The 27647-nt window shown below is 53.9% G+C and overlaps 5 protein-coding genes and 1 long non-coding RNA gene across 19 annotated transcripts in view, besides 15 other annotated features; 1 reads left to right on the forward strand and 5 right to left on the reverse strand.

Annotated features, from left to right (window-relative positions):
• HOXB3 (homeobox B3) overlaps nt 1-1931 on the reverse strand; it is a 41372-nt gene extending 39441 nt beyond the window's left edge. For all 4 annotated transcript variants that reach the window (NM_001384747.1, NM_001384750.1, NM_001384749.1 and 1 more), the window contains exon 1: nt 1815-1931. The gene's annotated coding sequence lies outside the window, so the exon portion shown is untranslated. The remainder of the gene's footprint in view (nt 1-1814) is intronic.
• A 178-nt stretch (nt 1932-2109) lies between these two features.
• On the forward strand, nt 2110-18104 carry HOXB-AS3 (HOXB cluster antisense RNA 3). Of its 8 annotated transcripts, NR_110331.1 has the most exons (4): nt 2110-2279; nt 12137-12235; nt 13118-13353; nt 13765-14031. It is a non-coding gene; the product is annotated as an HOXB cluster antisense RNA 3 (long non-coding RNA). The 8 variants fall into 8 exon arrangements; NR_033201.2 differs by lacking the exons at nt 12137-12235; nt 13118-13353; nt 13765-14031 and adding exons at nt 15617-15736; nt 17822-18104; NR_033202.2 differs by lacking the exon at nt 13118-13353.
• Nucleotides 2947-5469, reverse strand: HOXB5 (homeobox B5). The gene is made up of 2 exons (NM_002147.4): nt 4811-5469; nt 2947-4146 (listed from the first exon to the last, which is right to left on the reverse strand). Exons 1-2 carry the CDS (start codon nt 5370-5372, stop codon nt 3899-3901), a joined length of 810 nt encoding a protein of 269 aa, NP_002138.1. The 5' UTR covers nt 5373-5469; the 3' UTR covers nt 2947-3898.
• Nucleotides 5093-5142: a silencer, noted in NCBI's record as "silent region_8654". NCBI's record gives its function as "represses an Ori minimal core promoter by ATAC-STARR-seq in GM12878 lymphoblastoid cells {active_cell/tissue: GM12878}" and the evidence as "EXISTENCE:reporter gene assay evidence [ECO:0000049][PMID:35858748]".
• Nucleotides 5399-5906: an enhancer, noted in NCBI's record as "H3K27ac-H3K4me1 hESC enhancer chr17:46671071-46671578 (GRCh37/hg19 assembly coordinates)". NCBI's record gives its function as "activates a minimal SCP1, AML or CMV promoter by ChIP-STARR-seq in primed H9 embryonic stem cells {active_cell/tissue: H9 hESC(primed)}" and the evidence as "EXISTENCE:reporter gene assay evidence [ECO:0000049][PMID:30033119]".
• Nucleotides 5608-5677: an enhancer, noted in NCBI's record as "active region_12334". NCBI's record gives its function as "activates an Ori minimal core promoter by ATAC-STARR-seq in GM12878 lymphoblastoid cells {active_cell/tissue: GM12878}" and the evidence as "EXISTENCE:reporter gene assay evidence [ECO:0000049][PMID:35858748]".
• Nucleotides 5907-6412: an enhancer, noted in NCBI's record as "H3K4me1 hESC enhancer chr17:46671579-46672084 (GRCh37/hg19 assembly coordinates)". NCBI's record gives its function as "activates a minimal SCP1, AML or CMV promoter by ChIP-STARR-seq in primed H9 embryonic stem cells {active_cell/tissue: H9 hESC(primed)}" and the evidence as "EXISTENCE:reporter gene assay evidence [ECO:0000049][PMID:30033119]".
• On the reverse strand, nt 7441-16676 carry HOXB6 (homeobox B6). 4 transcript variants are annotated; one of them, NM_018952.5, is made up of 4 exons: nt 16552-16676; nt 16170-16305; nt 9426-9918; nt 7441-8362 (listed from the first exon to the last, which is right to left on the reverse strand). In NM_018952.5, the coding sequence occupies exons 3-4, from the start codon at nt 9838-9840 to the stop codon at nt 8103-8105; spliced, it is 675 nt and encodes a 224-aa protein (NP_061825.2). In that variant the 5' UTR covers nt 9841-9918; nt 16170-16305; nt 16552-16676; the 3' UTR covers nt 7441-8102. The 4 variants fall into 4 exon arrangements, with proteins under 4 accessions (NP_061825.2, XP_011523029.1, XP_047291864.1 ...); XM_011524727.4 differs by adding an exon at nt 15405-15658 and having other exon boundaries at nt 16170-16676; XM_047435908.1 differs by having other exon boundaries at nt 16170-16676.
• Nucleotides 7455-8126: an enhancer, noted in NCBI's record as "H3K4me1 hESC enhancer chr17:46673127-46673798 (GRCh37/hg19 assembly coordinates)". NCBI's record gives its function as "activates a minimal SCP1, AML or CMV promoter by ChIP-STARR-seq in naive H9 embryonic stem cells {active_cell/tissue: H9 hESC(naive)}" and the evidence as "EXISTENCE:reporter gene assay evidence [ECO:0000049][PMID:30033119]".
• Nucleotides 8184-8353: an enhancer, noted in NCBI's record as "active region_12335". NCBI's record gives its function as "activates an Ori minimal core promoter by ATAC-STARR-seq in GM12878 lymphoblastoid cells {active_cell/tissue: GM12878}" and the evidence as "EXISTENCE:reporter gene assay evidence [ECO:0000049][PMID:35858748]".
• Nucleotides 9410-9459: an enhancer, noted in NCBI's record as "active region_12336". NCBI's record gives its function as "activates an Ori minimal core promoter by ATAC-STARR-seq in GM12878 lymphoblastoid cells {active_cell/tissue: GM12878}" and the evidence as "EXISTENCE:reporter gene assay evidence [ECO:0000049][PMID:35858748]".
• Nucleotides 9690-9789: a silencer, noted in NCBI's record as "silent region_8655". NCBI's record gives its function as "represses an Ori minimal core promoter by ATAC-STARR-seq in GM12878 lymphoblastoid cells {active_cell/tissue: GM12878}" and the evidence as "EXISTENCE:reporter gene assay evidence [ECO:0000049][PMID:35858748]".
• Nucleotides 14493-14542: a silencer, noted in NCBI's record as "silent region_8656". NCBI's record gives its function as "represses an Ori minimal core promoter by ATAC-STARR-seq in GM12878 lymphoblastoid cells {active_cell/tissue: GM12878}" and the evidence as "EXISTENCE:reporter gene assay evidence [ECO:0000049][PMID:35858748]".
• Nucleotides 14653-14702: an enhancer, noted in NCBI's record as "active region_12337". NCBI's record gives its function as "activates an Ori minimal core promoter by ATAC-STARR-seq in GM12878 lymphoblastoid cells {active_cell/tissue: GM12878}" and the evidence as "EXISTENCE:reporter gene assay evidence [ECO:0000049][PMID:35858748]".
• On the reverse strand, nt 18922-22707 carry HOXB7 (homeobox B7). The gene is made up of 2 exons (NM_004502.4): nt 22209-22707; nt 18922-19785 (listed from the first exon to the last, which is right to left on the reverse strand). The coding sequence occupies exons 1-2, from the start codon at nt 22606-22608 to the stop codon at nt 19532-19534; spliced, it is 654 nt and encodes a 217-aa protein (NP_004493.3). The 5' UTR covers nt 22609-22707; the 3' UTR covers nt 18922-19531.
• Nucleotides 19209-19754: an enhancer, noted in NCBI's record as "H3K4me1 hESC enhancer chr17:46684881-46685426 (GRCh37/hg19 assembly coordinates)". NCBI's record gives its function as "activates a minimal SCP1, AML or CMV promoter by ChIP-STARR-seq in naive H9 embryonic stem cells {active_cell/tissue: H9 hESC(naive)}" and the evidence as "EXISTENCE:reporter gene assay evidence [ECO:0000049][PMID:30033119]".
• Nucleotides 21579-22399: an enhancer, noted in NCBI's record as "H3K27ac-H3K4me1 hESC enhancer chr17:46687251-46688071 (GRCh37/hg19 assembly coordinates)". NCBI's record gives its function as "activates a minimal SCP1, AML or CMV promoter by ChIP-STARR-seq in naive H9 embryonic stem cells {active_cell/tissue: H9 hESC(naive)}" and the evidence as "EXISTENCE:reporter gene assay evidence [ECO:0000049][PMID:30033119]".
• Nucleotides 22400-23219: an enhancer, noted in NCBI's record as "H3K27ac-H3K4me1 hESC enhancer chr17:46688072-46688891 (GRCh37/hg19 assembly coordinates)". NCBI's record gives its function as "activates a minimal SCP1, AML or CMV promoter by ChIP-STARR-seq in naive H9 embryonic stem cells {active_cell/tissue: H9 hESC(naive)}" and the evidence as "EXISTENCE:reporter gene assay evidence [ECO:0000049][PMID:30033119]".
• Nucleotides 23220-24040: an enhancer, noted in NCBI's record as "H3K27ac-H3K4me1 hESC enhancer chr17:46688892-46689712 (GRCh37/hg19 assembly coordinates)". NCBI's record gives its function as "activates a minimal SCP1, AML or CMV promoter by ChIP-STARR-seq in primed H9 embryonic stem cells {active_cell/tissue: H9 hESC(primed)}" and the evidence as "EXISTENCE:reporter gene assay evidence [ECO:0000049][PMID:30033119]".
• Nucleotides 23834-23883: a silencer, noted in NCBI's record as "silent region_8657". NCBI's record gives its function as "represses an Ori minimal core promoter by ATAC-STARR-seq in GM12878 lymphoblastoid cells {active_cell/tissue: GM12878}" and the evidence as "EXISTENCE:reporter gene assay evidence [ECO:0000049][PMID:35858748]".
• On the reverse strand, nt 24036-26982 carry HOXB8 (homeobox B8). Its single transcript, NM_024016.4, has 2 exons — nt 25971-26982; nt 24036-25199 (listed from the first exon to the last, which is right to left on the reverse strand). The coding sequence occupies exons 1-2, from the start codon at nt 26392-26394 to the stop codon at nt 24892-24894; spliced, it is 732 nt and encodes a 243-aa protein (NP_076921.1). The 5' UTR covers nt 26395-26982; the 3' UTR covers nt 24036-24891.
• Between the last annotated feature and the right edge of the window lie 665 nt (nt 26983-27647).

Here is a 27647-nt window from a genome sequence, read left to right on the forward strand (position 1 = left end):
AGTGGGCACCCCAATTTGCTCTTTGCCATCCTGGAAAATCCGACCAGATATGCCTAGTAGATGTTAGAGCCTACAGAACTGACATGAGAGGGGGCAAAGAAACAATTTTTCAGGAGCAGGCCTTACTATCTGGGGTTCTAGCTTCCAGAAGGGCTTTCAGAAAGGGAAGTATATTAGAGTGAGGCCAGGGGCACAATAGGAATGGGGTTCCCCTGGAGACCCAGGTCAGACTCTCCCTTGCAGAGCTCTTTGTCTGCATGTCTGTCAACTCCGTTGCCTTGTAGAGTGGAAGACTGTGGAAGCTGTGCCTCCAGCACTTCTTTATATTTTCAGTGGTGCTGGGGATCCTTTGGGAGATGACCTGTGTCTCCTTTCTAAGGGATACAAATGCCCTCATCATTCTTGGGATGATATGTCTTCAAACCAGGGTGACTCTGCTCTTAAAGCCTGTTAAGGATTTCCTGTAAGTCAGGCTTGGGCAGTGGATAGAGAGCTCAGGGAATAGAAAGTGGCTTCAGGAGAAAGAGGACAGGGGGAGAACTCCAATGTCCCTTAATGAGAAAAAGGGAGTCTTATGACCCCATCCTTGTCCCAAAGATCAGAAGCCCCTCGAGGTGCCACATATCCAATCCCAGAAACTACCTATGGCAGTTGGTGAGCTGAATCAAGGGATGGCAGGCTGGTGAAAGTAGGAGTGACAGGGTAGTTAGCCCCACGGGTGTTAAATTGGAGGGGGGTCAATTTGGTGGGGAAGAAGCCTCTGACTTTTAGAAGGGTGACTTTTCCCTAGAAAATAACAGAACCCCTGGGGATCAAATCCTGAAGTCTCTCTGGTTTATGGTTCTACAAAACAAAGGGGACTTTGAGGGTGTGCCCAGAAAAGAAGAGGGAAAAAGAGAGGAAAAAAGAGCACCTTTCCTATTTTCTCTTCCAGCTCCTGAATCTATTTCCTCCCGACAGTTGAGGGATTTGTATTCTTGAGCTGATTTTATTTGAGGAGGGCTTGCCAGAGTTCTACTTAAACACCTAACACCTCTAGGCAAGAGAAGAAGCTCTTCCCTTCCCCCACTCCTGGTTCAGGAATTAGGTTTTGAATTGGGGGAATTGCCCTCTCTGTCTGCTCCCTAGTCTGACTTCAGGATCCTACTTCGAGCCAAGGAGAAAGATTAGCTTGAGACCAACAGGCTGAAGGTGGAGGCAAAAGCAGCGCTGTGCTCCCCATCCCAGAGAAGCCTGATGAAGCCAAAGATAACCGGAGGGACCTCTTTTTATGGGCTTCAAAGATCGGAAAGCCAGAGATCACCCCAGGGCAAGGTAGCCCACAGCAGCCGCCTACCCGGTGCTTTTTCTCAGCTCAGATGTATCCAGATAAAAGTGCCCAGCGGTGCACCCCCACACACCTCCGACAAATGAATGTCATAAAGTTTCTTTCCGGAGGATGGGGGGATAGTTGTCTGAAGATATCCAGCAGTGAAGTGGCCCCCACCAATGGCCCCTTCTTTCAGCAATATACACCCCTCCTTCCTGGTCCCTAAATTTCCGCTGGCACTGAGGGAGCATGGATCCCCCACACAAACCCTTTTCCCCACAAAGTCAGACACTCCTGTTGGTAAAAATCAGGCACCCCCGACCGATGAGGCCTTAAGAAACTGAGAGCACTCATTTCAGGCACCCAGTCCCTTAGAACTGGGTGCATAAAACAGGCTAAATTTCCCCTACATCACCCCACAGCCCCAGGTGGAAACAAGTTTTCTTCCCCCAGTCCCAGGCCCCAGAATTGCAAGGGGTAAAAGCGAAAGCTGAAAGCGACTTACTGCGGGAATGCTGGCCTGGGCCGCCGCTGCCTTCTGGGCTGGTCCGGCTGCTCCAGGCTGGGAGAGTGCTCACCTACCTCTGCCCCCTTCCCCACCACAGCGAGCAGTTAAAGTGTCACTTAACATTCTGGAGAATGTGAAATATACTGCGCGGTGTCAACTCCCCAAAACCATAAAACTAACTTTATGGACCTCACGTGACTTTCTCGAGCCAGTGAGGGGTATCTGTCTGACTTCTCGGCGATTTTTACGATCTAACTTCGAGATAAAACCCCTATCCATTTGACATCTAAATGTCATAGCGACTTTTGGGATAGTTTGCTATCGACAAAGGGAGACAAAGTCAAGGGGTGAAGGGAAAGGAGGGCCAAGTAGAGCCTCCACGACCCTCGGCTTCCTCCTCACCAGCTCCCCCTCCCTCCAAGTCCAGTAAGAAGTTGGGCCAAGCTGGAAGGGATTGACCGGGTAAGTGTCCAGACTTGACTCTTGTGCTCAGGGTGGAGGCTGACTTGGATGGAGGTAGACTGGGCCCTAGCCCTGGGCCAGGCTGAAAGGGAACCAGGGGTCTTTCTGAAAGGACCCTAACTCCTAATCAAGAGGGAAGATCAGTTGGGCCCTTGGAGAGAAGGAGCCCTTGATAAGGGTAGGGAAGGCTGAGGGTGAGAGAAATCCTTTGAAATCCAGCTGAATTTTTTTTTTTTTTTTTTTTGCTTTAGTTGGTGGCAGAGCTGAATTGGGACTTGGAGTAGGAGACAGGGGGCTGGGCAGGCCTCTACCACTCCCAAAAGGCCAGGAGCCTCCTGCTGAGGACTTAGGCCCAAATTACTTTCCCAGAAGAGTTTTCCAGAGGCTTCCTTGGCCAGCTAGTGGAAGACCAGGATGAAGTCTAGCTCAGCCTTTCCTCTGCCCCAGCCCCACATGGGGTTTCTGGGCCTTGGAGTCCCCCAGGCATGAAGGTCTGTTCCCTGGCCCAAGCACTGTTGACCAAGCCAGTGACTTACATGGCTGAGAAGAGTTGTTGGGGAGCAGCCTACTTTTTCTTCCCTGCACCCCAGATCTATTGAGAATGGTGCAGGGTGTGCCCGGGATGGGAGAGGCAGACCCCTCGGAGAAAAGACAAGTGGAAGGGCAATGGAGTGGGGGAAACATTTATTTGACTTCCAGGAAAGCTACAAACAAATACCAAAAGCGAATCACTGAGACAGGCCCCGCAAAGACAGATTTCACACGTAGCACAGCATCCACTCGCTCACTACAAATGGTCTTGGAAGCAAGATGGGTAAGGGAGAGATGGGTCTGACCCAGACTATCCCCATATTTACAAGCTTTGGGCCCTCTAGCCAGACCCATGGATTCACAGAGAAATACACAAGACATTTTGCACTGAGGATCATTTTTGTTTCCGTATACTCCCAGACCAGGCCTTGTGGGGCCTACCCAGGCAGCAGGAACTTAAATCTCACTATCTTCTTTCTCTCTTCTCAATACCATCCCTTTGGTCCTCCCTAGCCCCTTCCCACCCTAGGACCAAGCCCCTAGGAGACTTGGGCCTAGGGAGTGAGGAGGGAGGAGGAGGAGAATGAAAAGGGACTCCATCTCCGAAGCCAGCTCAGCTTGACCCCACTGCGGCACTACCCCACCTCAACTGCTGCCCCTTACAGAAGTTTCCAGCTGAAACTCAAAATACAGCGATCATCTTTTTATAAATAAGTTAGAACACAGATGGGGAGGGGAGAGTTCACATTAAACATGCGAATTTCTTTTTTTTTTTTTCCTGGGGGAAAGACTGCAACCACAGACACAAACATTCAGAAACACTGGCGGATTTGGGACAAGCAGAAGGGAGTTGGGAGCATGGAAGGAAAATAATAATAATAATTATTATTAACAATAATAACAAGATAACCAGTCCAGGAGAGAGGGAGCCACAGGAAGACCTAAGACCAAACGAAATATCGTAACACAAGGCGAGGCAGGCTTGTGGGAACCGGTCCCCAGCGGGCGGCGGCAGAGCGGGGAGGATTGGAGGGGCCAGGGCTGGGGGTGGCACGGGCTCTTGGGCCGCTGGGCTCCTCTGGGCGGGCTCAGGGCTGGAAGGCGCTGCCAGCTGTAGCCAGGCTCATACTTTTCAATTTGTTGTCCTTCTTCCACTTCATGCGCCGGTTCTGGAACCAGATCTTGATCTGGCGCTCGGACAGGCAGAGTGCGTGGGCGATCTCGATGCGCCGTCGCCGGGTCAGGTAGCGGTTGAAGTGGAACTCCTTTTCCAGCTCCAGGGTCTGGTAGCGGGTATACGCGGTCCGGGCCCTTTTCCCGTCCGGCCCGGTCATATCTGGAGCAGATAGAGGAAAGCCGCAAGGCAACATTATTCCGGTTAAGGGAGGGGGCACTGGGTGGGAGGGGGCGGGGGAGCAGGACCCAGGCGTCCCGGCACCCAGCTCACCACAGCTCCAATCCTCTCTACTCCAGATGCCCACATTCAAGCTCGATTTCTGCACCCCTTTCTACTGCATCCCCCACTTCTGCAGGCAGCCAGTGCGCCCGGCTTTGTCTCTTGCTCGCTCCTAGTGCCTCACCCTTGGCTGGGCTCAGGCGGCCGCTCGCCCCGGGAGGGAGGAGAGCGGTTGCACTTTTGCCCCGGAAAGCTCCTTTTACTGTTCACCCCTTCTTTGCTAGCGACAGTCTCAAAATTTCAGGGGTAAGCAGGACCCTTCCCCACATTATATGAACCCCATCCTTTATCCTAAAGCTGGTTCAGCTGCGCTAATAAAAACCTAAGCCGAAGCTGGAAACAAATTATTAAAAATACCCCCCTCTTAACAGAGAGACCCTTTTTGGCTCTGTCTACGAAGCTATGAGGCCCCTCTTAGATACTTCTCCCCCTTAGAAAAATGAATCTATATTTAGGGTAAAGCCAAGCTCTCCTTGTCCCCCCGATCCCACCCCAAAACGCAGAGAAGGAAAGCCGAGAAGACAAAAAAGAGAGAGAGAATTACCATGGCTGATGTGAAGCTTCCTCATCCAGGGGAATATTTGCGGAGTCTGCCCCTCGGGCGCGGCTGTGGAGGTGGCCATGGGCTCTGGCTGCGCCCGAGCTAGGCTGGGGCTGCTTAGCTGGCTTGCCGCTTCCTCAGGCTCCGAGGACGCGCTGGCCTCGTCTATTTCGGTGAAATTGGCGCTGGAGCTGGCTGAGGTCGCCTGGTCGGAGGGGGACGAAGCAGAGGGCTTGGCGCCGTGGCTGTCGCCGTTGGTGCAGGGCAGGGACTCGGGCGAGGACAGGGAGCAGCTCGAAGCCGCTTGCCTGAAGCGGGGCTCCTGGGCGGGCGCGGGGAAGGCGCGCGAGCTCTCGCCCACCGCCCCAAAGTGGCTGGAGGAGGCCGAGGAGCGGTTGACGCTGAGGTCCATCCCATTGTAATTGTAGCCGTAAGAGCCGGTGTGCATGGCAGCGGGATCCCTGTAAGAGCCGCTCAGAGAGCTGCCACTGCCATAATTTAGCAACTGATAGTCCGGGCCATTTGGATAACGCCCCGAGAAGGAGTTTACAAAGTACGAGCTCATTTGGGTGATTTTGGAGGGCTTGATTTGTGGATCGTGGTCGTTATAACCCTGTGCTTCACGATTTATGATGTATTAATGAATTATAGCGATGCACTGTACTTCGTTTTGCTATGTATGCGGCCAAATATGGGGGGGGGGTTGGAAGGGGGGTGGGGGGCGTTAGGGAATCACGTGCTTTTGTTGACCAGTCGTAAATTCTCGCTGATGACCTCAAGAGGTAATTCATGCTCTATGGTTACAAATAATGACGATCCGAGAATCGTTAGGGCCGATTCAATGCGAGCCTCCGAGAGAGGGGGAAAAAAGGAGAAGGGGGAGAAACAGAGAGAAGGTTGGCTTTGGCCTCTGAGCAGAGCGCGCCACCTCCCGGCGACCGACGGGAGCGCGGGCGTGAGACCGCCATGGCGGCGGGCGGCTGCCTCCCTGCTGGCTCCCTGCAGGCTCCCTGCAGTCGCCGGGAGAGAAAGAAACCCGGCCAAGGCTCAGCCACAGGGTTGAGCCTTTTAGAGCAGGGGTTGGGCTTTTTACCCACTTTCTTGTGGGTGGGGTTAGCCTCTCTATTTGGTTCTTTCTCCCTACATCATCATTGTCGTTATTATTTTAACTTTGGATGAGAAGATCAAAGATAGAGTTGCTTTTCCCTTTCTTGGGCTTTGCAAGTCTCCGAATTGGAGGCGGAAATGGGGGAAGGGTTGGAAGTTGTGTGTGAAAAACAATTATTGCAACGGGTTTTCCCCAGGAGCTTAGTCCGGCCTGCATCCTGGTGGAACTGCTGTTACCGGTCCACAGCGCCCAGGCCGAGCCGGCAGGGCTGGGCGGGAGGCTTGAAAAAGAAGGAGAAGCGTTCACTTCTCCTGGGCCACTTGGAAGTTCGAAATCCCCTTCCGGACCTCCTTGGTGGTCCTTAGCCCAGGCGTGGGGAGTGACAGAGCAGGACAGGGACCCCAGAAACCGAGCACAGCTGGGGCTAAGCGGCCTAGTTGCCGAAAAGACTGCAGCGGCCACCGCGTCTGCTGCTTAGTTTGAGTAGTAACATGTGTCTGAGAGTTTGTAAAGCGGGATCCCTTCCCCTCCTCCTCGGCTATTGCATTCGGAGGCCCCACTACAGGTCCCTCACTCGCAGCTAGGCAGTTTGAGAATTTGCCTGGTGGCAGCCGCCTTCCCGGAAAAGGGGTTCCAAGGACCCGCATGCTTTGCTGAGCACGCTGGGCGGCCAGAGACCGCCGCAGCTGGTCTCCTATTAGGAGGGGACTATTTTCTTTAAAAATAAGAAAGGAAGCGAGAGGGCGGAGGAATAAAGGAAAACAGTGACCGCAGCTTGCCTTCTGGGTGCCGGTGCAAGCAGAGAGAGAATGAGCCATTCTGGGTTGAGAGGATGACACTAAAAGCCCCATCACCTGGCCTCCTGCCCTGGGGTCTCCAAGGAGCAAGGGAAAGTTGTGGCCTTCGGCCTGTGCCTGGCTGGTGGCTTTACATTCCCCTACTTGAGGCTGATCTCCTACTTGAGGCTGATCTGCTACTTGAGGTGGGAAGGGGCACCTGGAGCCTTCAGCTGCAGGGTGAGAGATACCCAGTGGCCCCATTTTTCAGTCTCCAGAGCCACAGGCCAGGAGCGGAGGGCCAAGGCTGGCGAAAAAACCTGGCCATGTGGACGGGCCAAAGACCAGGGGTCGCTGCGAAGGTGAGGACAGAAAAGCGCTGCAGAGGCCCCCAGACTATGGCTCCGTCTCCGCCAGAGAGCTTTAGGGGCCTCAGTGGCTCCCTTAGTGCTGTGTATACACGAGGAAAGGCTAGAGAATGAGAGGGACACAGCACCTCTCCATCCCCCAAGTCTGCACGGGGAGAAGCGGCTGTGAGCCTCAGCACCAGGGAAACGCAGCGCTGGGGCCTGGGCAGGACTGATCGCTCCAGCCTTTATCTCAGCTGTAACTTCCCAGTCGAACAGGGCTCGCTTCGGCGGGCCAGGGCTCTCGCCTTTGCTGAAGAATTCTGGCTCAGGAAAGATGGAGAGGCTGGGGGTTGAGGAGAGAGGAAAAAATGGCAGGGGAGGATTGGAGGTGACCGAGCGTCGAGTTTTCACATCTTTATTATTGTTGTTGTTGTTGTTATTATTATTATTATTATCATCATCATCATCATCATCATCATCGAAGTATTTCACGTCCAGAGCTAAGACAAGACTACAAACACAACACATAGAAAATTAATAAAATAGAACTTTGTTTTCTTCTGAGGCTCCTCTTCTTACTTCTAGGTAGTATGTGCTCCTTCCAGTGGCTTTGGGGAGGGGGTGGGAGAGACGACAGGTCTGGGATCAGGGAGTCTTCAAGGCCCCCGCTGAGGGGACAGCGAATCTACCATTGAACCGTGCACGGGGGACATGGACAAAATGAGACGCGACAGGGACAAGAGCATTTTGCTCTGCTTCCAGGAAACATCAAGTGAGTCCGCTCCTCAGTTCTCACCAGGAAGCCTGATCAGGCTGAGGCGAGTTCCTCGGGAAGGAAGGGCGCGCGGGATGCTGGGTGGGCTCGAGTAGTGAGGCCTCAGAGCACCCGCCGGGAGCTGTGCGGGCGGGGGCGTCCAGGAGAGCGCTGGGCCCCGCCTGTCTGCGCCGGAGAGCAGGTCTCCTGGCTCCCCCACCCGAGAGCCTTCCTTCCCGGGTCTCTCTGACGCCCTCGGCTCCCCACAGGCCTTTCCCCTCGCGTCCTCCCTCCCTTTCCAGCACCTTCACTCGGCCTGTTTTTCTTCCTCCTCCTCGGCACTGAGCTGAGACGCGCTGAGCAGTTTGCTCTCCTTTTTCCACTTCATGCGTCGGTTCTGGAACCATATCTTGATCTGCCTCTCCGTCAGGCACAGGGCGTGCGCGATCTCGATGCGCCGCCGCCGCGTCAGGTAGCGATTGTAGTGAAACTCCTTCTCCAGCTCCAGCGTCTGGTAACGTGTGTATGTCTGGCGGCCTCGCCGGCCGCTGGGCCCAAAGGAGGAACCTGTTACGCAGAGTGGAGATGCTGAGGCCTGCGGTCACCGGGCCCAGGACCCCCTCCCCTAGTCGACCCTCGAACACAGACTCCAGCCAGTACCGGGATGCCCTCTATTCTGCCGGCTCCCTTCCCCCGTTTCGCACTCCTCCAGCGCCCCCTCCAGATTCCCTCCTAGTCTCCTAGGCCTGTGCCGTCTGTCTAGACTCTAGATGGGGGAGGGGAGGAGCAGTTTGAACTCCCACCTGAGCCTGGGGGGAGGGGCTGGTCAGGTGTGTCTCTTCCTAGTTGCATCTTGTCTTTCCCTCCCTTTCCATCCATCTTGTTCCCACCCCCCGTCATCCCCCCAACCCAATGATAAATCCAGGCCGTTAATCCGTAATGACGTAGATCGATCCATAGTCCACATTAACGGCTCCTCACTTTCGAGTCCGGCTAATGGACATCAGTTGGGACTTAAGGCCAACAAATAATCCAACCTGAGACCCCGCGCCTGTTTCTCCCTCTCTCGCTCCGCCTGCTCCCTCTCTCTTCCTTCCCCTTATTCCTCCTCCCTCCTCTGACTACCACCCCTTTCCTGGTGCCTCATCTTGCCCCAGCTCCCCACCCACAGGGAAACACAGTCCCAGACAGACTCAACTCTTTCTCTTCAGCGTCACCCCCTACCCCCTTGCATGACGCACTCCGTTTTTAATGGAGCCGTCTTTGGTTGGGGAACCCTACCAGGGCTGGGAGAGGGGGGTTGGGGGCTCAAAGTAAAGCCAAGCCAGTGACTGCAGGCTCCTGCTCCCTTCCCTGTCCTGGAACCCCGGCTCTGGCCAGGCGCCCCAGGAGAGCACACTTGCTCCCCATGGCTCCCAGTGCGGCTGGGACTTTGCAAACTTTGTAACTCCTGCCTAATAGGGGACACAGCGAGAGACCCCCGGCCGGCGCCCAATCTTCTTCTATCTCCTAACTGAGATGCCCACCCAGCACCCTGTGGGAGATTGGGGCAGGGGGCGCTCACTAGTTCTGTGTCCCGGGGTGGGCGCCCAGGGGAGCCGGGGCGACGGCGACGGGAAGTCTCACTCACTGTTGCACGAATTCATCCGCTGCATCCACGGGTAGACCGGAGTGGAGCACTTCTGCTCTTCTGTCTCGCCGAACACGCTCTTGTCCTGCGCGCAGTCCGACTTCCGCGGCTCGGGGTGGAACGGGGGCTGCTCGTCGGCGCCGGAGAGTGCGCAGGCCGACTCTTTCTCGCGGTAGAAGGCCGGCGCCGGCCCGTAGTCGCAGGGCGCCGCTCGGCCGTAGCCACCGCCCGCCGGCGGGTAATAGGAGGAAGTGGCAAAGCCCTTGTCCTGGCCCGGCCCTGGCCCGTAGGGCGCGGGGTAATGTCTCAGCGGGTCCGCATAGCCCGACGAATAGAGCGGTAGCTGGCCCAGGAAGGACTCCTGCCCGCTGGCCAGAGTGACGGGGAAGGTGGAGTTCACGAAATAGGAACTCATTGGGAGGGGAGGCGCGCGCGGCCGCTGCTGCTCCGCCGGGTTTATGATTTGTTGTGTTTTATAGTCCGAGCGCCGCGCCTATTAGTAGTATATCCGAGATTGGGTTTTAGCTGAGGGGGGATGGCGAGGTGCCAGTGAGGGCCAGAAGGAAATACAACCATCTGATCCAACACTGACCAATGGCAGAGGCAGGAATTGTCAAATAGCACCCAGGAGGAGCGCAGCCCGCACGAGGGACCCGCGCACAAACCTATCAACCTTTTTTTTTTTCCTCCTTCTCCTTCGCCTTTCTCCTCTCTCCCCCCAACAACACAACGCGTCCTGTTCCACCTACGTAGGATCTGTGAAACAGGCTCAGTGCCTTTGAGGGAGGAGGGAACGTTTAGATTGAGACCACCCCACTCCCGGGTGATTAAATAAATATGTCTCTCCCCCACCCCACGCAGGATTGGAAAAAGTTAATTGTGTTTTCAGAAAAGTTAACCCCTGCGTTGCTTCGACCCCTTCTCTCCGGGGAGGGTTGGGTAAATGTCTCCGAATCGCCTTGAGAGAGAACTAAAGAAGGTTTGTTTCTAGGGTTTTGTGTCGGTAGAAGGTGAGAAGAGTTCTCCGCTAAGATAAGCAAAGAAGAAACACCCTCCTCCCCAGGTTTTGAACATCGTTTTTCCTGTTTATCAGATCTGCTCTGTCTCCTCCAAGCCTCGGCTTATTGTTCCTGCTTCTCCACAACCCTTCTGGTCTGAGGGGGCAGGCCAGATCCCACTGCCTAGAAGACCCAGAAGAGGAGGAGCTGGCAGGAGGGACTGAGCCCAAGCTTCCCCTTCTGACTCTGTGGCTAGACTAGGAGCTTCTTGGAAGGCGGCGACGAGGGTGGCTGCCCAAAACATTCTGCCTGGTTCTAGTATGCAGCTGCTCACCCTTGGCAGGGGAAGGGGCACTGGGGAAAGGGACTAGCCCTCTCCTCACTTGGTGATATGGAGTGAAGGAGTGAGGGGTATCCCTCAGCCTAGGTGGCTTTATTTGTCTGATCCCTATCCTGCCTGCAACCCTCACTCCAGTACCCTCTACAATCCCAAAAGACTTAAGAATAGCCTGGGCTATAGGATTTTCAGGAATCAGGGATGTCCCAGTAAATCTGGGCACAAGGAAGAAATCATTCTTCTTCCAGTTGTGGGCTTTGAACCCTCCTGATAGTTGAGGCAGTCAGAGACCACTGGGAAGAAATGCATCCTCACTCCTCTTCTAAGTCTCTGTAGGAGCTGCCAGTTCTTTTTAAAATTAATTCTTTCCCAAGACTTGGTTTTTGCTTTAGTTTGATAGGGAGAGAAGGTCGTTTGCGTTCTCTTGGGGACTCAGCAGGCTGCTTCCAGCCATCAGCCAGCATCCCCTCTCCCTTCTGTCTGTATCTCAGCATCGCTACAATTCCCTCCCACACCCCGTGTTTGTATCATCAGCTTTGCCGCCTTACAAATTTAGGTGTGTCAGAGAATGTATGTCTCTGGCTCTTTCATCCAAGGAAAATAAGCATTGAGCCCAGGCTGGGAGACAGGGCCACAGTGCATTCCCAACATTCTAATATACATACACAGGCCAAGTAGTGAAGGGTGACAACCTTCACACCTGGGGACAAGAAGGGGCCAGGGCATGGAACAAAGTCAGATGTCAGGCCAGGCTGACCCTCCTCTGCCTTGTCCTTCCTTTGGGCTCCTTTTTCTGGCCAAGTTCTGCCCACTGAAGATGGTACAAGACACTAGGGAAGGTGGCAGGGGACTGAGCTTGGATCACCAAGGGTGGGAACTTATTTGGTTGCAACGTGGTCTCCAAGGCTCTCTAAACTCAGGGCAACTTCTTGGCTGTACCTTAATGGCAAAATAGCCATCCCTAGATGGCCTCCAATTACTTCCTAACCTGACTCTGTGGGAGTGTTTGATAAGCATTTAAGAAAACAAATTTAAACCCCCTGATAATGAAGAAGGATAAATATTCCATATCTAGGTATGGCTGGGCTTGCTTCTAGAGAGGACTAGGGGCCATTTGAACAGGGGGAGAAAAGTGGGAGAGAGTACCTGCATGCACCTCCCTGCCTACTGCTGAGGCTGAGCCCTGGGCCTCAGCCTTCCCTGCCTCCTCCCTGCCCACAATGTCTCCATCCTAGCACTAAATAGTGTGGTTTTCTCAGTGAAGTCTGAACAAAATAAGATCTGGTGAGGAAGGGAGCATTTCCCTGTGTCAGAAGCAGGGAAATAATTGCCTTATCTTTAGAGTCACAGCCCCCAAATTAACCTCACCTCTGCAGGTTGCTTGTCTGGAGATGGAGCCACTACAGGCGGGCCTGGGCGCCTGGAGTCGGGCATGAAAGAAAATAGCGCCTCATCGCTCTTATCTAAGCCCAGAGGTATTTATGAGCGTTTATTCGTCTGATCCGTTTGTTTGGGAAAAAGAGCAGGCGGGCAGGGCAGGCCAGAGACCGACTCCTTTCTGGAGCCAGATCCCTACGAATCTGTCTGTGGTTCGGTCCACCGCCCTCTGTCTGTCTCCTTGGGGGAATATGTAAATACACAGCGGGCTCAGCCATCCGCCAGTCTGGGGTGTCTCTCCCTGCCTCAATGAGGAAGTGTGTGTTCAGAGAGATGGATAGAAGTGTGTACCAATTCTTGAGTACATAACAGAGGGATTGTACAGATACCCCACAGGCAGGATTTATAATTGTAATTTTCTATGCTGTGAGTCTGCAGTCCTGTGGGCAAGCTAACACATTCCAGCTCCCAGGAAAATGTTTCCTAAGTTGTGTTCAGTTCGGGAGTAAAATTCTTGATAGGTAACCTCAGGAGGGATATTTGCGTGTGTGTGTGTGTGTGTGTGTGTGTGTGGTGTGGTGTGGTGTGTGTGGGAGGGTGCTGAGACATTGTCCAGGCTTCCAATTTCCTCTAAGCTATAAAGCCCTCTCCCTCAGCTCTTTGAGGTGATGAGCACCTTCTCCCACCACCCCCAACTTTGGCTGGGGTGGGGTGGGATGAAAATATTTCAACTCAATTCTCGTCCTGGACTCTGTTTCTCTGGGTTTGGGGAACATAAATAAATGTTCCCAGGGGTACTGAGTGATCACTCCCATAGGTTGAGGGAGGCTGTTTAGATGAGACACTTTGCCCTAAAATCGGCCCCTCCAAATCAAAGTACAAAGACTTCATTTTCATTATGCAAAGGAGCGGCATCCTCTTTGATCTTTAGGGGAGTGAGCAGTAGTGCTGAACCCACTCTCCCGGTTTCCTACCCGCAGGTCCAGGGGACAACCTGAGGGCCCTGAAGTGTTTCAATACCATGTACCAGCTTGACTTCTCTACATGTCCTTTGGATTGCCCAAAAGCAAAATCTCAGAGGGGCCAAGGACCTTCTAGGGCTGGCTCCCTCAGGGCCTCCTATAGAGCAGCTCCTTGAGTCGGGCCTTATAGCCACCAGAAAGTCACCTCGCCGCAGGAAAGCTATAAAGAGCTGCTCCAGAGGCGCCGAAAGAGGGTGAGGGCTGCAGCCACAGTGTTTGTCCCCAGCACCACCAGGCCCCTTAACCTCGTCAGCTCCTCTAGCCCTCGGCCAGACTCTGGCAACACCTTGGTTTGCCTGGCACCGCAGGCAATTTCCTGGAACCCCACCCCCACCCAGGAACGGGGACCACAGCACCTTTAAAGGAACTGCCAGAGCTTCCTCCTACGGCTTGAAAGCCCAAGCTAATCAGTAACCCGTGAGACAGGGGCCAATATTCAAACGCTGCAGCAGAGGCGCATAGCCTAGCCCTGGCCACCCCCTCTTGGGAAGGAGGTCGAGTTAAGCCGGTGTGGAGGGTCCAACAGGAACGGAAATTACGACGGTGTGGTTCCTTAAGGATTTGGCCCCAGTCCCACTACCAAATTTTTCCCAAATCATATTTAGGTAGACTTCGCTTGAAAAGATCGAGAATGGAGGAGGGGATCGGCACTCACTTGCAGACATCAACAGTTTCCAGAAAATTCGGTTCAATTCCTTCACCACGGACCCACCAACCAAGGAGCTGGCAAAACCCACTAACCAACCAGGAGAACACAGACCCGGTTTGTCTTTTGACAACCGAGTGGAACTGACGGGGCCGGCGCCTGCCCTGCGGGTCCCCTCCCTTGGCTGAGAAGAAAACCAAATAAACCTTGAACAGCCTTGGCTTCGGATGTCTCAAGCGGCCTCATCCTCTCCCGCGCCTTGGTGGGGTGGGGGTGGGGATGGCGGTGGGGGTGTCGGCTCTGATCCCTCCACCCTTTGATTCAGGGCCCCTGCCCGCTGGAAGCAGAATTAGACCTTTTTATATATGCCCTAGAGGAAGCCGCTTCCCTTGCCAGCCGCCAGGTTTGGGGCTAGGATGGGCGGGGACGGGGGCAGTGGGAAATTGGGGATGATGGGTGGAGGAGAGACTTCTGTTCTCTAACTCACACCGGGGAACCAAGATCTAGCTGAGAGCGTCGGTGTGGGCCCGAAATCCCCCGAATCCCGTGGACCCTGCGAGGCCGGGGCTCCAGGCGTCGGGCACCTCTGGACAGTGTCGCGGGGCTTGCGGCGCCGAAGCCGCGTGTCTCCGAACGGACGGTAGATGGCAGCAGACCGCATAATTTGGGTCACAGCGAACTGTCTAAGGGAGGATTTATAACCCTCCAAGACTACAGGAGAAAAAGACCTTTAGTATGGGTGGGTTTGGGAAATTTTTCCCTTGAGAATAGTCCCCGAGTGCCGTGGGTGCTGGCGGAGAACTCTAGCTACGAAGCCCAGCGGTCCCTCCAGGCGCCCAGGCCGGGCCTGAACCTAGGGCATCTACCTGGGGCCACAGAGCCGCCTCTTCCGCGCCACAAGTGGCAGCGTCGTCCCTCTCCTAGCTTAGGACTGAGATAATAAATATATCCCCACTTCCAAAACGCCCCAGACCCTGTAACTCCGGGGCAACCAGAGGCCCGAGGCTGAATGTCCTGCATCTGGTCTTAAGAAAGAGAAAAGCAATCACATGTTCGTGCAAACCAGACTAAAAATCACAATTTCTCCTGCCCTCCACAGCCAACATCACTTATCTCTTGGCTGGAAGCTTCCCCAGAAGCTCCCTTACCCCATTTTTAAGTCCTTGCCTCAAGGCTGGCACCTACTTCCACCCCACGAGCTACTTTAGGAATCTCTGTCACCTGCCCAATGTTCTCCGCCCTCCCCACCCCCTAGAAGGCCTGACTGAGGGATAAAATTGGACACCCGAGGGACGGGACTGTCTGAGCTCAGTGCCAGTTAGCTTTTCAGTTTAGACGCCGCTAGGTCCCATAATTGGATTTTCTTTTTATTTTCTTCTTTCATTTCTTTCTCTTTTATTTTTATTTACAAGCCTAAAACAAAAAGGCACTTAACAGCTTCTTCACAATCACCATGTCTGGACCCAGGAAAGTTTGAAATGTTATCATATCAGACACACACATGGCAATTTTTTCCTCCACCGAAATCCACACATCCCATACCAATACAACGCAAGTAATAGAATCAGTATCACGCAGAAACCAACAGCTGTAACCTACCGCATTAAAACCACAAAACTGTCTCCCTGTAGAGCGAGGCTCCCTCCTGCGGGAGTGGCGAGATACTTGGGCATTCTCGGGCAGGCTTCCTGGTGAGGGGGGAGTCTCCCTCATTTTTGGTGTTTCCACCCACAGCCCTTTAATTTCAAAAATGTCTCCGAAGGGAGATAGTAAACATTTCTCTGTAAATTGTCTTTTCTGTGTTTCTCTAGCCGTTTCCTCTCCCTCGCCGGCCTCGGCGGAGATTCCAGGCCCTATAGAAACCAGGACGTCCCTTAGCGCCACCGCCTCACATGCCAGTGCTGCCGGGAACCCAGCGATATCCGCACCAGGCAAGAGAACTGCGCTGGGGCAATAGCCAGAGGCCGAGACAAGGGAGGGATGGCAGGAGGGGGAGGGGCAAGCCCGCGGAGGCCAGAACCACTGGCTTCTTTGGGTGCCACTGAAGCCCAGATACCCCCCATCCTCTCTTTCGCACCCCCCTTGCTTGAGTCTCTCCTCCAAGCTTAAAAAGGCGACTTAGAGCTGGTCTCCTGGCCCTCTTTTGATTCCTCTTCCCGCTTTCCCTGCCTTGGCTCCCCCTCCAGGAAGCAGCCACCCATATCTCCACCACTGAATTTCCTGGGAAGCTTCTCCCTGCAGCGCCCAGAGGTGGGGTTCAGCCCCGTCTTGGAACGGGGGAGGAGGGAGAAAAACCCAAGCCCCACCCCCACCCTACAAAAGCGATGCAAAAGAACAAGAAGAAAATTGTAGAATCTCCCTTACCTTTGCAGACCTTGGGATTTTTTCCCCCTCCGGATTTAAAGGAATGGGTGGGGAGGAAGGAAGGAGTATTCAGTTTCTTCTTCAGCTTCCAGATAATATTGTCCCAACGTGAGAGCCGTTGCTTCCCCTTCTCTGACTTGGGAGAGAGGGTGTTTCATTTTTCTGACATTTGCATAGAAAATGGAGTAAGTTCTGGCTTTGAAAAATAGTATCGGGCTGCAGTCCTGGGCAGATTGTCCATTTACCCTCCATGGTGACTAAAATCCCAGATCAGTGAGCAAATTAACTTAGGAATCAAAATTATTTTTGGTTCTCTCTTTGTGTAATTCCCACCCCTCCTTCTCTCCCTCTCCCTCTCGCGCTCTCTCTCTTTTCTCCTCACCCCCCTCTCTCGTCCTCTCTCTCTTTTGCTCTATCGAGCTGATACTGAAGTACAAAAATATCAAGAGGCTGGAGCCCTGAAGGACGACAGTGCTCCGACCTAGGTGTGGTGTCCAAAAGAATGCTGCATTATAACCACCAGGGAAATGATAAAAAGTTCATGTTCACGATCGCCCGGCCACATGACCGGCGCCGGCCAATCGCTGGATTCAACCACTCATAAACTTCTATCACAAAGTTGTAAATTTTCATAAAACAACAAGGAATTTATTGCATTTCTTCATGGCTGCTCCACCAGCAACCCTTTTCTCAGTCGCCATCTTCTTTTCTTCTCCTTCTCTCTTTTTGGGGAAACCCCAATCTGAGAAGGGGTGAGATTTGGGGGGGCAGGAAATCAGAGTGCAAAAGCCATAACGGTACAGCTGGGAAGGGGGTTCTTTTCCGAACCTCCCCACTCTCCACAGGAGCTCTGCTCCCTCTTCTAGTAAAGGTCTACCCCAAATCCTCTGCATAGGGACTGTTCTGAGACAATTTTGGGGTGAGGCAGGAGCAGGAAACGGTGTCTAGAGTTGCCACCTGCATAAGGGCAAAATGAAAGCTTCAGTGTCCCCTCTCCCCCTCTGAACTGGCCCCCTCATTCCTAGCCCTGTAGACAGCAGGACCCCCACCTGTGAGGCTTGCAGCATTGCAGGCGTGGGGGCCTTAGATTCCCTAGGGCTTAGTTTTTGCCCCAGGAGGAAAAGTGGCCTGGATGGGGGCCAAGGCAGATAGTCTGACAACCTGATTCTCGCCTCCGGAACCCAGAAACTGGGGGAGGGTAAAGCCGGATCCTGGCTTCTCCCGCCCAAATGCAGGCAAGTCCAGGTTTCCTATGACAGCTCCATGCGCTCTCCAGGGCGTTACGTGGTCATTAATGGGGGAAACTGCAGGTTTAAAAGCATTTTACATACAAATTCAAATTCAACAGATTATCCTAAAACCAACCCTCTTCCCTCTTTCTATCCAAAGTCTGTTTAAATTTAAACAATCCAGAGTTTATAATCGAATAAATGCTAAAAATCAATTCAGCGGGTCTAGCCGCATAGACACCATCCTCCAAGTTTTGGTCCTGCAATCAGCGGATGTTTGGAAGCAAAAAATAAAATAAAAATTCAGCCCAGGTTTTTCAGGTCCCCTGAAATAACCCCGTATTTCAAGTTGACCTACCAATGCCCGAATTCTGGAAACGAAATAACCTCCCCCAACATTTTCCCCCCTCTCTCTCTGTGCAGCGGAGAAGGTTCCAGGCTGCCGGCGGCGGCGCAGAGAGCGGGAAGAGAGGCTCGGAGGAAGCCCCGGGCGTGGCGTGGTCAGGCTCCGAGAGCGGCCGGGATGCGGCCACACCGGCCTGGTAAACTCGCACCTCTTAGGATCTTGCTCCCGGACTCATTCCCTTCCCCACCCCCTATTTTAAAGTTTTATTTGGGTCGTCTGTATCAATTTAGAACGAGATAAATTAAGACAAAGAAAGTAAAATAAATCGAAATAAAATATAGGAATAGCTCTTGGCGAAAATGTTTGCCGTGCGAGCAGGAAGCCGTGAGCGCCCTAGTTGGAGGCTGCTCTGCGCCGACTAAGAGGCCTCTACTCCCAGGCCTGGCCTCTACGCAACGCCACCCAAGAAGCCAGAGTGAATTTGGGTGTTCATTTTCCCTTTCCTTCCGCTCTTCCTTCATGTGGGGCCTAGCAGCTTGGATTTCAGCTCCGTCTTTGTGCCTGGGCTGCAGCCCAGATCCAGATCCCGCAGCTTGGTTTCCAGGCCTGAATGAGGACGCGGGTTTGTGAAACTGTGAGGTTTTTGTTTTGTTGTTTTGTGAGCTTGTGTGACTAAGCATGTGGGCTTCTGAGTGCGTTTACTTGGGGGCAAATGTGAATCTGTGTTTATAAGCCAATGTGTGAATGTACGTTGGTATCAATGTGTCTGTGAGTGTGAATGTGTGTTTACTTGTGAGCGTGTGTGAACATGAATGCCTATGTTCTGGGCGTGAAGCTGGTATTACGTGAATGCCTGTATGTTTGTTAACATATGGGTATGAGTGTCTCTTTGTGACTGTGACAGTGTGTATGTTTGATGTCAGCCTGTAAACACATGTGACTGTGTGCATCATGTATGTCAATGGGTGTAAAAGGGTGTAAAGGGAATGCATGAGTGCAATATCGGGGTTCACTACTTGGCAGCCCCCCAGAGCAGGAGGCACCAAGAAAAAGAACAAACTCAGCACAGAAATGAAGCTGCATCAGAAGTCAGAGCCAAGGAGCTCTGGGATGCCCACTCATCTCTAACCCTGAACCCCTTCCCAGCTTTAGGAAGACACAGAAAATAGGGCATCTGTTTATTTTTAATTGCGTTTTATTTTTCCATCCTTTAGATACACACAGAATGTAAAAGGGAGCATGGGGCTGGGGGACGGGAAGCAAGAAGCAGCAGCCAGGCGCTTGGGGAACACGCGAGTGGTAGGTTTTGGGGCTCCCTAAGGCCCCTTGGTGCCGCTGCTGGGAAGGCGGAGGCTCAGGAGGGCAGGCAACCACAGGGTTAGTCCAGACCCACAGTCCACAAAGACAGCATTAAAGAGGGCTTACAAAACTGCAAGATTTTACAAAGACCTTACAATAGCAACATAGAAAAGGGGAGGTAAATTCCAGAAAGCTACAGAACAGGTAGATAATATCCTTTTCATATTGTACAAAAAAACCAAACCTGACAGACTTTCCTATAGGTAGTATTTTTTCAGTGTTGAAAAACCAAAATTTCTCCTTTCTCCCTCCTTAAAAAATGTTTTTAAACTCCTTTCATTTAAATAGGGTTTTTTTTTTGTTTTTTTTGTTTTTTGTTTTGTTTTTTTACTTCCCTATTCGATTTGAGTTTCCTGATTCAGTTCCCAGAGCTGGGCTTCTCTTCCTCTCCCTTTCTCATGTCTCTTCCTCTGCCCTTTCTCCATCCCTCACTCTTCCTCTTCCTCCTCTGCTTCAGCCCTGTCTTGGCCGGTGGTCCCCGGGCCCGCGGTCTTGTTCTCCTTTTTCCACTTCATGCGCCGGTTCTGAAACCAAATCTTGATCTGTCTTTCCGTGAGGCAGAGCGTGTGCGCGATCTCGATGCGCCGCCGCCGCGTCAGGTAGCGATTGTAGTGAAATTCTTTCTCCAGCTCCAGGGTCTGGTAGCGGGTGTAGGTCTGGCGGCCTCGTTTGCGGTCAGTTCCTGCACACAGTATTCAGAGGAAAATCAGTGAGTAAAGAAAACGCCGGCCGGGCGCGGTGGGCTCAAACCTGTAATCCCAGCACTTTGGGAGACCGAGGCGGGCGGATCACGAGGTCAGGAGATCGAGACCAACCTGGCTAACACAGTGAAACCCCGTCTCTACTAAAAATACAAAAAAATTAGCTGGGCGTGGTGGCGGGCGCCTGTAGTCCCAACTACTCAGGAGGCTGAGGCAGAAGAATGGCGTGAACCCGGGAGGCAGAGCTTGCAGTGAGCCGAGATTGCGCCACTGCACTCCAGTCTGGGCGACAAAGTGAGACTCCGTCTCAAAAAAAAAAAAAAAAAAAAAAAAGGAAACGCCAAGAGAGTGGCCACCTCCCTCTTATACCGTGTATGTGATTTGAAGTCAATGGGCGATGGGCAAAGAAGCCCATTTTCCCACTAAACCAAATTCTGGCTTTTCATACCCCAGCCCTTACTCCAGCTGCAAACTCCCCTAATTGCTGAACTTTCTACAGGCTTCTCAAAGCAAACATTCCCATTTTTCATCCAAGAAGTCTTTTTTAGCCTGGAGCTTCTGAACCCAGGAAAGTAATCTGCTGGCTCTTAAAGGCTCTGCACCTAAGGGGTGCAAGTGGGATGAGGGGAGGTTAATCCTCCTTTCACTCTCTGGGGTCAAGGACCCTAAACCCCCTTTTCTGAATGCTGATCTGATGGTCTTTCCAGTAGAGACCAAGAGAAACCATGCAAGTGACCCTGGAGTGGGGCGCCAGGCCTAGCTTAAGAACGTTTCCCAAGAAGAAAAGGAGACAAAGGGGCCTCAAAGGCCCAGTCCCCCCAACTCATCCCCAGCATGTTGTGGAATGAGAAGGTAAGAATTTGCAGATTTCCTTGGAGCAAAGAGTTGGTCTGACAGCAGTGACCCTCTGATGATTCTTTTCCAGTGAGTGGCTAAGCTTCAGCCAGGGCCAGGCTGTCCTGCTTGCCTGCTTGCCTAGACAGCCCAGCTCTCTAAAGCAATCCTTGGGCCTCCAGGAATGCACAGGGGAAAAGGAGAGACAGCAGCCTGGGATAGGATGGAACATGGAGTATCTGGGTGGTGGGGACTGAAGGGTAGAGGGGAACTTCTGCATTAGGACCAGAACCTGAGGAGACTTTAAAGAGGTGCTGATGTCAGCCCTCCTGGGAAGGAGACAAGGGAGGAGGGGCTAGGGGCCCTAGTTTCAAGTCAGATAAAAGCCAAGCTGAAATGCTGATGAGCAGAAAAAATGGGGCTTTGATAAATCAACTGGAAAGGCAGTTAAACTATGGAGCAGGTAATGGGACCTATAACCACTAATACTGATGGTATGAGAGCTGGGCTGCTTCTGGCCCCTGACCATTGCTGGGTTGGGTGCCTCTGACCATGAGTCTTGGGTCTTCTGGACTTTGGGGCTAGCCCCTAAGTTCGTCTGCTTTGGAACAGTGCAGAAAAGGATGTCTGGGTCAGACTCGGCAGGGACCCCATGGAACCTCAGCCTCTTGGGGTTCTGCAGCAGCTGGCTAGGTGAACTGCACTCTCTAATTTTTGAATTGGCTCCAGAGAGTCCTAGCCCCTCCCCCAAGAAAAGGGTCACTTATCTGGAATGACACCTCCAAACTTGGCCAGTTCTTTAGGGGTTCCTAGGAGCCCTAGGAAGAGCACCTCAGGAAGCCAGCTGCACTCCCATGAAGCCTCTGCCCCTTTCTAGTTCTCCTGTTCCACTCCCCCACCCAGGTTCACTGGGATCAGGAGGATCATCTCCTTTGGCCTCAGCCCCCTCCCTCCACCTGCCTCTCTAGCTCTGTGTCCCTGGCTGGGTCCTTTTCTCCTCCCGCCAGGCCTCTAGAGCCCACCTCTAATTGTCCTGATGGGAATAATGGGGGAGCGGGGTTGGCTGGAGAGGAAGGGGGAGGGGAGAATTGCTTAGCGCTATGGCCCCCTCCCCCATACCTTATCCGAGTGGGGCAGGGGGACACACCCAGGGCTGAGATCCTTAGCTGGGAAGGGGGGAGAAGGGGGAGACCCTAATGGCTATTCTCTGCAAACACCGGCCTTCCTCCGCAAGACAAACGGCCTCGTCTCCAGCCCGTGCCGGCGCTGCTGATAAATATTTAAAGCTAAAAGGCCGAGAGGAAGGGTGGGGGCGGGCTGGGGGCTCGCAGCGCCGTGGTGCCGGCGAAGAGAGATCCGCCGGGAAGCAGAGCGAGCCTGAGAGCACCGAGCAAATATGGGGGCGGGGATGGCCTGCTGGGTCGCGGCCCAGTGGGTGCAGCCTTCCAGGGCCGACCTCCGGCTGGGAGCACTCTGGACGCGGAAAGGGGCGCCCAGCCGGGAAGGAGGCGCCTTCAGGGTAATGTGCCCCGGCCCCTGGGGCTCAGGACAGCTCGGTGCGCGGCGTTACCTGAGCTTCGCATCCAGGGGTAGATCCGGAAGTTACTCTCGGCCGCCAAGTCCGAGTCCCTCTGCTCCTTGGCGCCCGCCGCCTTGGCGGAGTCGCCGGGACACACCCCGGAGAGGTTCTGCTCAAAGGGCGCGCAGTGCATGTTGAAGGAACTCGGCTCGAGCCCATAGCCGGCCGCGTAGACGCCGGCCGCGCTCTGGCCCGCCATGCCCCCCCCGCCGGGGTACAAGCCCTGCATCGAGGCGGCGAAGGAAGCGCCCGAACCCGCTCCATAGCCCGGGCGCTGGGGGTTGGAAGCAAACGCACAAGAAGTTTGTTCTGGGAAGGCTCCGGTAGCGAAAACCGAACTTGAGGCTGGATATTTAGAAAATAAAGTATTCGCATAATACAATGAACTCATAATTTGGCCGGATGATTTGTAGGCAGGGACGTTTTAGTGTCGGTTTTACGAGATTCCTTGATATATTACAGAATTAGAGTCCAGATTTACACCAAAAAGGACCCCCTTTTTCCTCTCCGGACCACGTGACCCCGCCCACGTGACGTCCCCTCCGCCAATGGCCGGGCCGTCTCCCCACGGCTCCCGGTAATGTGGAAAAAATTGTGTGGCGTTGGATTTATAAAATATGATCAATAATGAATGGGAAAGCCGAGCCCTGTGGATTGGGGCTGGGGGCTCAAGGGCCGCTGCCGACTCCCGCGGGCTGGAGGCCGCTTGCAGGCGAGATTTGGGGAGGAAGAGATTGAGTGGAAGGGAAAATAAATAACCTCGGGGCGATCCGTGTCACCCTCCACCCATCCTCTTCAGCCCGTTACCGAGCGAGAGACAAACGCAGGGATTGAATGCACGCAACTGGGTGGGTGGGTGCTTGGGGCAGGTCTGTTCTTTATTAAACCAGGCCAATTCTGCACGGCAAGGCCTTTTGGGGAAGTTGGTCCGGTTCTCCCAAGACGAGGAATGAGGCGAGCCTGGCTCACGACTCTGTCTCTCTTGGTGCCCCAGATATGCGGGCGGAGATGGAGCAAGTCTTCCTAGGTGCTCCTAGGGCACAGGATCCAGCCCACGGGCCTTGGACGCTGCCGTTTCTGGTGGCAAAAAAAAAAAGAAAGAAAGAAAGAAAAAGAAAAAAAAAGGTTTGAAAGTAAAAGAAAAAGGGGGTTGGGAGGGTGGGGAGAGAAAGGAAGGGTGGAGGTTGGCCCGGGCGCGCTGCTCTCCCGGTTCCCGGAGGCGGATGCCTCAGTGGAGCGTGACTACCAGAGAAGCAGAGGCAGCGAAGGAAGGAAGGCAGAGAGCCATGGCCTCAGAACAGAGCGAAGGTGGCCAAGTCCCTGAGAGGGAGAGGCAGGGAAGAGCGGTCTCCCTTCTCCTCCTGCTCCCCCAACAACAACAGTCCGAGGGAAAAAAAGTATGCTCAGCAGGCCTGCACTCCACCTTTATGCCTGCCCCCCACCCCACCTCCCGACACACATCTTGGGAGGACACACAGCAAAACAAAGAGGGAGGTGGCGGGGGACACAGCCACCAGCCCAGCCGCAGGTCTCCAGCGTGGCCTGGGCGCCCTGGCCTCCCTGGCCGGGCAGCCTCGGAACGCGAGAGGAGGGGGTTTCTCTTGGCTCCCCTCCCTCGTTTTTCTCTCCTCCAATCAGGCTCAGCCGCCTCCCTCACCCCCAGCGCCCCTGGGCCGAGGGACTCGCACCACCTGCCTCCAGCCCCCGCCCCCTCCTCTCTGCAGCCTAGCCTCAGCAGGCGCAGGAGCCCGGTGACAGGCTCCCCACCGGCTCTGCAAGGCACCCGGGAGCAAATGAGGAGCGCTGGCCGGGCCAGTCTCGGGTTCTCGCTTGTAAACTTTATTGTAACTCTTCCGCCCTTTTCAGGCGCAGACAACAGAACAAAGTATAGAGGAACAACAAAATATATAATTAGCCCTCCCTCCCCCCCATAAAGCAATTCACGGATACAGAATACATTCTCTTCACAGTAAACCTAAGAACACTTGTAACAATTGCCCACAGCGCGCATGCTAACTAAAGTAACCTCTTTTGAGAAACACTTAAGACAAAATTGTCAAACCAAAGGGGGTGGGTGGAGGAGGAAAAGAGAGAAGCCAGAGAGAAAGCCAGCGAGCTGGGGGGTTGCAGAGGGGAGAGAGGATTGGGAGGGGAAATGAGGACGCAGCGAGAGAGAGCGAGAGCGAGAGCGAGCGAGCGAGAGAGAGAGAGAGAAGGGAGACAGAAAGAATTACGGCGTGAATAGGCAGTTTCATGTTGTTGGGAGAACTTAGCAGAAATCGGTACCTTGGTCATTACAAAGAAGCACGTTCAAAGGAAAAAAAAGACAATTGCACAAGGAGGCTTTTTACACGGGGAGGGGAGGGGCATGGGGGGCTCAGCCGGGCCTTTGCCGCTCGCCCTCACAGGGCGAGGGAGCCTTTGCTTAAATCCTTTTCTTTCCCCCCGGCCCCCAAGAGAAGGGAAGGAGATCCACGGTAGCTCACACACAGAAGCTATTACGAGATACTACCACTAGCGGGGACTGGCGCGGCGGGGGACGCTGCGGTGGGAGGCCCGGCTCCTGGCCCCGCTAGCGGGGCCAGAGCTCTCTCGGGCAGGGGCGCGCGGCGGCGGCGCGGCCGGGACCCGCGGACGTGCGGGCGGCCGCGGCCCTGGCAGTCCCAGCTGAAGCCTACTTCTTGTCGCCCTTCTGCGCGTCGCCCTCGTCCGCCGCCTCTGGGGCCCGCTCCAGCTTCTGTTTCTCCAGCTCCTCCTGCTCGCATTTGCTGCTGGGGAACTTGTCTTTGTTGTTCTCTTTTTTCCACTTCATCCTCCGGTTCTGGAACCAGATTTTGACCTGTCTCTCTGTCAGTCCCAGGGCGTGCGATACCTCGATTCGCCGCTTACGAGTCAGATAGGGATTAAATAGGAACTCCTTCTCCAGCTCCAGGGTCTGGTAGCGGCTGTAGGTCTGTCGGCCTCGCCTGCGTCCGGCGGCTGCTGGGAATGGGGGAAAGGGCGAGACAGAGGGGAGGGGAGGGTGGGGGAGGGGGCAGGGACGGAGAAGGTTGGAAGATTCGTGAACGAGCCTGGGAGACCATTATAATAAGGGCAGGGGACCTTCTACCCCGTGCGGGGGCGGGGGGGGCGCAAGAAGGCCGCGGTCGGCGGAGGAGGAGGGGCGAGGGGGATTAGACACAAGTGAATCTAAGGGAGCCAGAAAGGGGAGCCCCCTCCCCCGGTAACCAGCACCAGAGTTGTGTAGGAGGTGGTTCAGATCTATTAGAAGTGCCATAAACTTTAGGAGGAAGGATGTGAAGGAGGGGGGAAAATAAGAATAAAAAAGCCGGGTGGGGACGAATGGACCCACCTTGAAAAGCCCCCAGAGCCTCTGCCCCAGAAGAAAAGTTTCTTCAGGGTAATTAAACTATAAAGCAATTGAGAAGTGCAAAAGTTGAGCGCCCCCACTCCCACCACCCTCTCTTCACTACCCCCCATAAAACAGTAAAAGGGGAAAAAAAGGAGGAGAAGAAGAAGAAAAGTAAGGCAGGATGAGGGGTTTATAGATTCAGGAAATGTTTCTAAGCGACCCCCTTCAAGGGAAAGAAAAAAGAAAGAAGAAAGAAAGATAAGAAAGAAAGGGGAAAAGCGGCAGGCGATCGGAACGGAGCCGGCAAGTCTTCCAGAAGCTGGAGGAAATGCGCCCCGGCCTGCCAGGCCTTGGGCCCTTCCGGCCCCCTCCTGCCCTTGTCGGCCCCGAGGCGAGCTCACCTTGCGGGCGCATCCAGGGGAAGAGCTGTGTGGGCGACGGGCTCTGCTCGGAGCCCTCGGCCTCCTCGCCCAGGCCGCTGGCGGCGGCAAGCTTGCAGTCTGCGTACTGCACCAGGTCTGGATCCTGCGCACCGAATAGGCTCTGGCGTTGCAGCGGGTCGTAGCCGTAGAAATTGCCGGGGTCCCCGTGGCACGCCACGGCGCACGGGTTCTGCTGGTAGGGAGCCGTGGACAGCGACGACGGCCCGTGGTAGAACTCCTGGATTTGCGACGGGTGCTGGAAGCTGCCGCCGCTGCTGGGACCGTACACCACGGTGGGTCGGCCGCCCAGGTCCTGGGCGAAGCCGCAGTCATAATAATTGGGGCGCAGGGACTCCCCGGTTTTGTATTTGGAGAACAGTGAGTTGACGAAATAAGAGCTCATTTTATTGAATTTTGAGGCGGCGGCGGCGGCGGAGGCTATAGTTGGGGGCTGTTGGGGAGGGGGTGGGGAGGGGGAAAGGGAGGGAGAGAGAGAAAAAAACGCGGATTCGCCGGCTCCTAGTCACCCTCGCCAGGAAAGGAGAGGGAAAGAGAGGAGGGAAAAAAAGAAAAGAAAGAAAAGGCGAAGAAGATCTCGAAGCCGACACACTTTTTGTGGTTTCCAGGAATAGAAAAGGACAGAGAAGCCTCCAAAAGTCTAAGCTTGCATGGCAGCCGCGGCTCGCTCGCCCTCCCCCCACCCCCCACCCCCCAAACAAAAATATACCACCACTTAAAGAGGTCCTCGCTTTACATTTCGAAGAAGGGATGCCAGTTCATAAACAGTTTTCGGTGATTTACTTCCCTGCAAATGAGTTGTTTCATATTTTGCACTGTCTTTTCATGATCATTTGCATCCATTAGAGACCCCGCATCCTATTGGCTTCTTCGTACTCCTCCCGGACAGAACGCAGAGCGAGGGTGAGAGCGAGAGAGAGCGAGCGAGAGAGAGAGCTAGAGCGAGAGAGCGCCAGGGAGTGAGGAGAGAGCGGAAAAAAAAAAAGGAGGGGAAGAAAAAAACACCCAGGGAGAGAGAGGGGGAGAGGGGGAGAGAGAGGGGGAGAGGGAGAGGGGGTGAGAGAGAATGAATACGGATTAAATCTGTTTAACTACCTACATTAATGAGATATCTCTCGCCTCACAACAAATCAAATACCTTCGCAGACCACCCCCAAAGACTGATGTGGGGGAGTCACGGAAAAAAACACGCACACACACATACACAACGCGCCAGGCGTAGGCACGCTGTTAATTTCGCGATTTTAACGAGGCAATTGGAGTCTTTCTAAATGTCAGGGTCGCTTCGGAAAAATGTAAAAGAACACGGTTTAATTGCGCCGAGTTTTAAAAGGTCCTATAAATGTAATTGGTATTTTAATACAAGTTATCAAATCATACAGCTTCCTCTCCTAAACGTATTTTCAAACAAACGAGGTAGTCATATTTAAAGCTTTAATGATCAATTTCCTTATTATTGATAAAGGTTTAACTATCGTGTGGAGGGAATTGGCTGGATAACCGGCCCCCCAAAAAACGGCTGTAAACTCTTTAAGAAACTATAAAACGCAATAAAGCCGGAGTCTGTTGTTGTTTATGCCGCAGCGCATAAAAGCTGTTAGCATTTTACGAGTTCTTTCCTCTACAGCTATAAAACTG

This window comes from Homo sapiens, chromosome 17 (genome assembly GCF_000001405.40).
Source record: "Homo sapiens chromosome 17, GRCh38.p14 Primary Assembly".
NCBI classification, from domain to species: domain Eukaryota; kingdom Metazoa; phylum Chordata; class Mammalia; order Primates; family Hominidae; genus Homo; species Homo sapiens.

Excerpts from the sequence above, each read along its gene's own strand:
- HOXB5 (NM_002147.4), bottom strand. The coding sequence starts at position 5,372 with ATGAGCTCGTACTTTGTAAACTCCTTCTCGGGGCGTTATCCAAATGGC. Across the intron at positions 4,147-4,810 it reads GAAGCTTCACATCAGCCATG|ATATGACCGGGCCGGACGGG; the intron begins GTAATTCTCTCT and ends TATCTGCTCCAG.
- HOXB7 (NM_004502.4), bottom strand. The coding sequence starts at position 22,608 with ATGAGTTCATTGTATTATGCGAATACTTTATTTTCTAAATATCCAGCC. Across the intron at positions 19,786-22,208 it reads CCCCTGGATGCGAAGCTCAG|GAACTGACCGCAAACGAGGC; the intron begins GTAACGCCGCGC and ends TACTGTGTGCAG.
- HOXB6 (XM_011524727.4), bottom strand. The coding sequence starts at position 15,518 with ATGAGGGAGACTCCCCCCTCACCAGGAAGCCTGCCCGAGAATGCCCAA. Across the intron at positions 9,919-15,404 it reads AGTTTTGTGGTTTTAATGCG|GCGCGGCGCTCGGACTATAA; the intron begins GTAGGTTACAGC and ends TACTACTAATAG. Across the intron at positions 8,363-9,425 it reads GCGGATGAATTCGTGCAACA|GTTCCTCCTTTGGGCCCAGC; the intron begins GTGAGTGAGACT and ends TCTGCGTAACAG.
- HOXB8 (NM_024016.4), bottom strand. The coding sequence starts at position 26,394 with ATGAGCTCTTATTTCGTCAACTCACTGTTCTCCAAATACAAAACCGGG. Across the intron at positions 25,200-25,970 it reads CCCCTGGATGCGCCCGCAAG|CAGCCGCCGGACGCAGGCGA; the intron begins GTGAGCTCGCCT and ends CCCCATTCCCAG.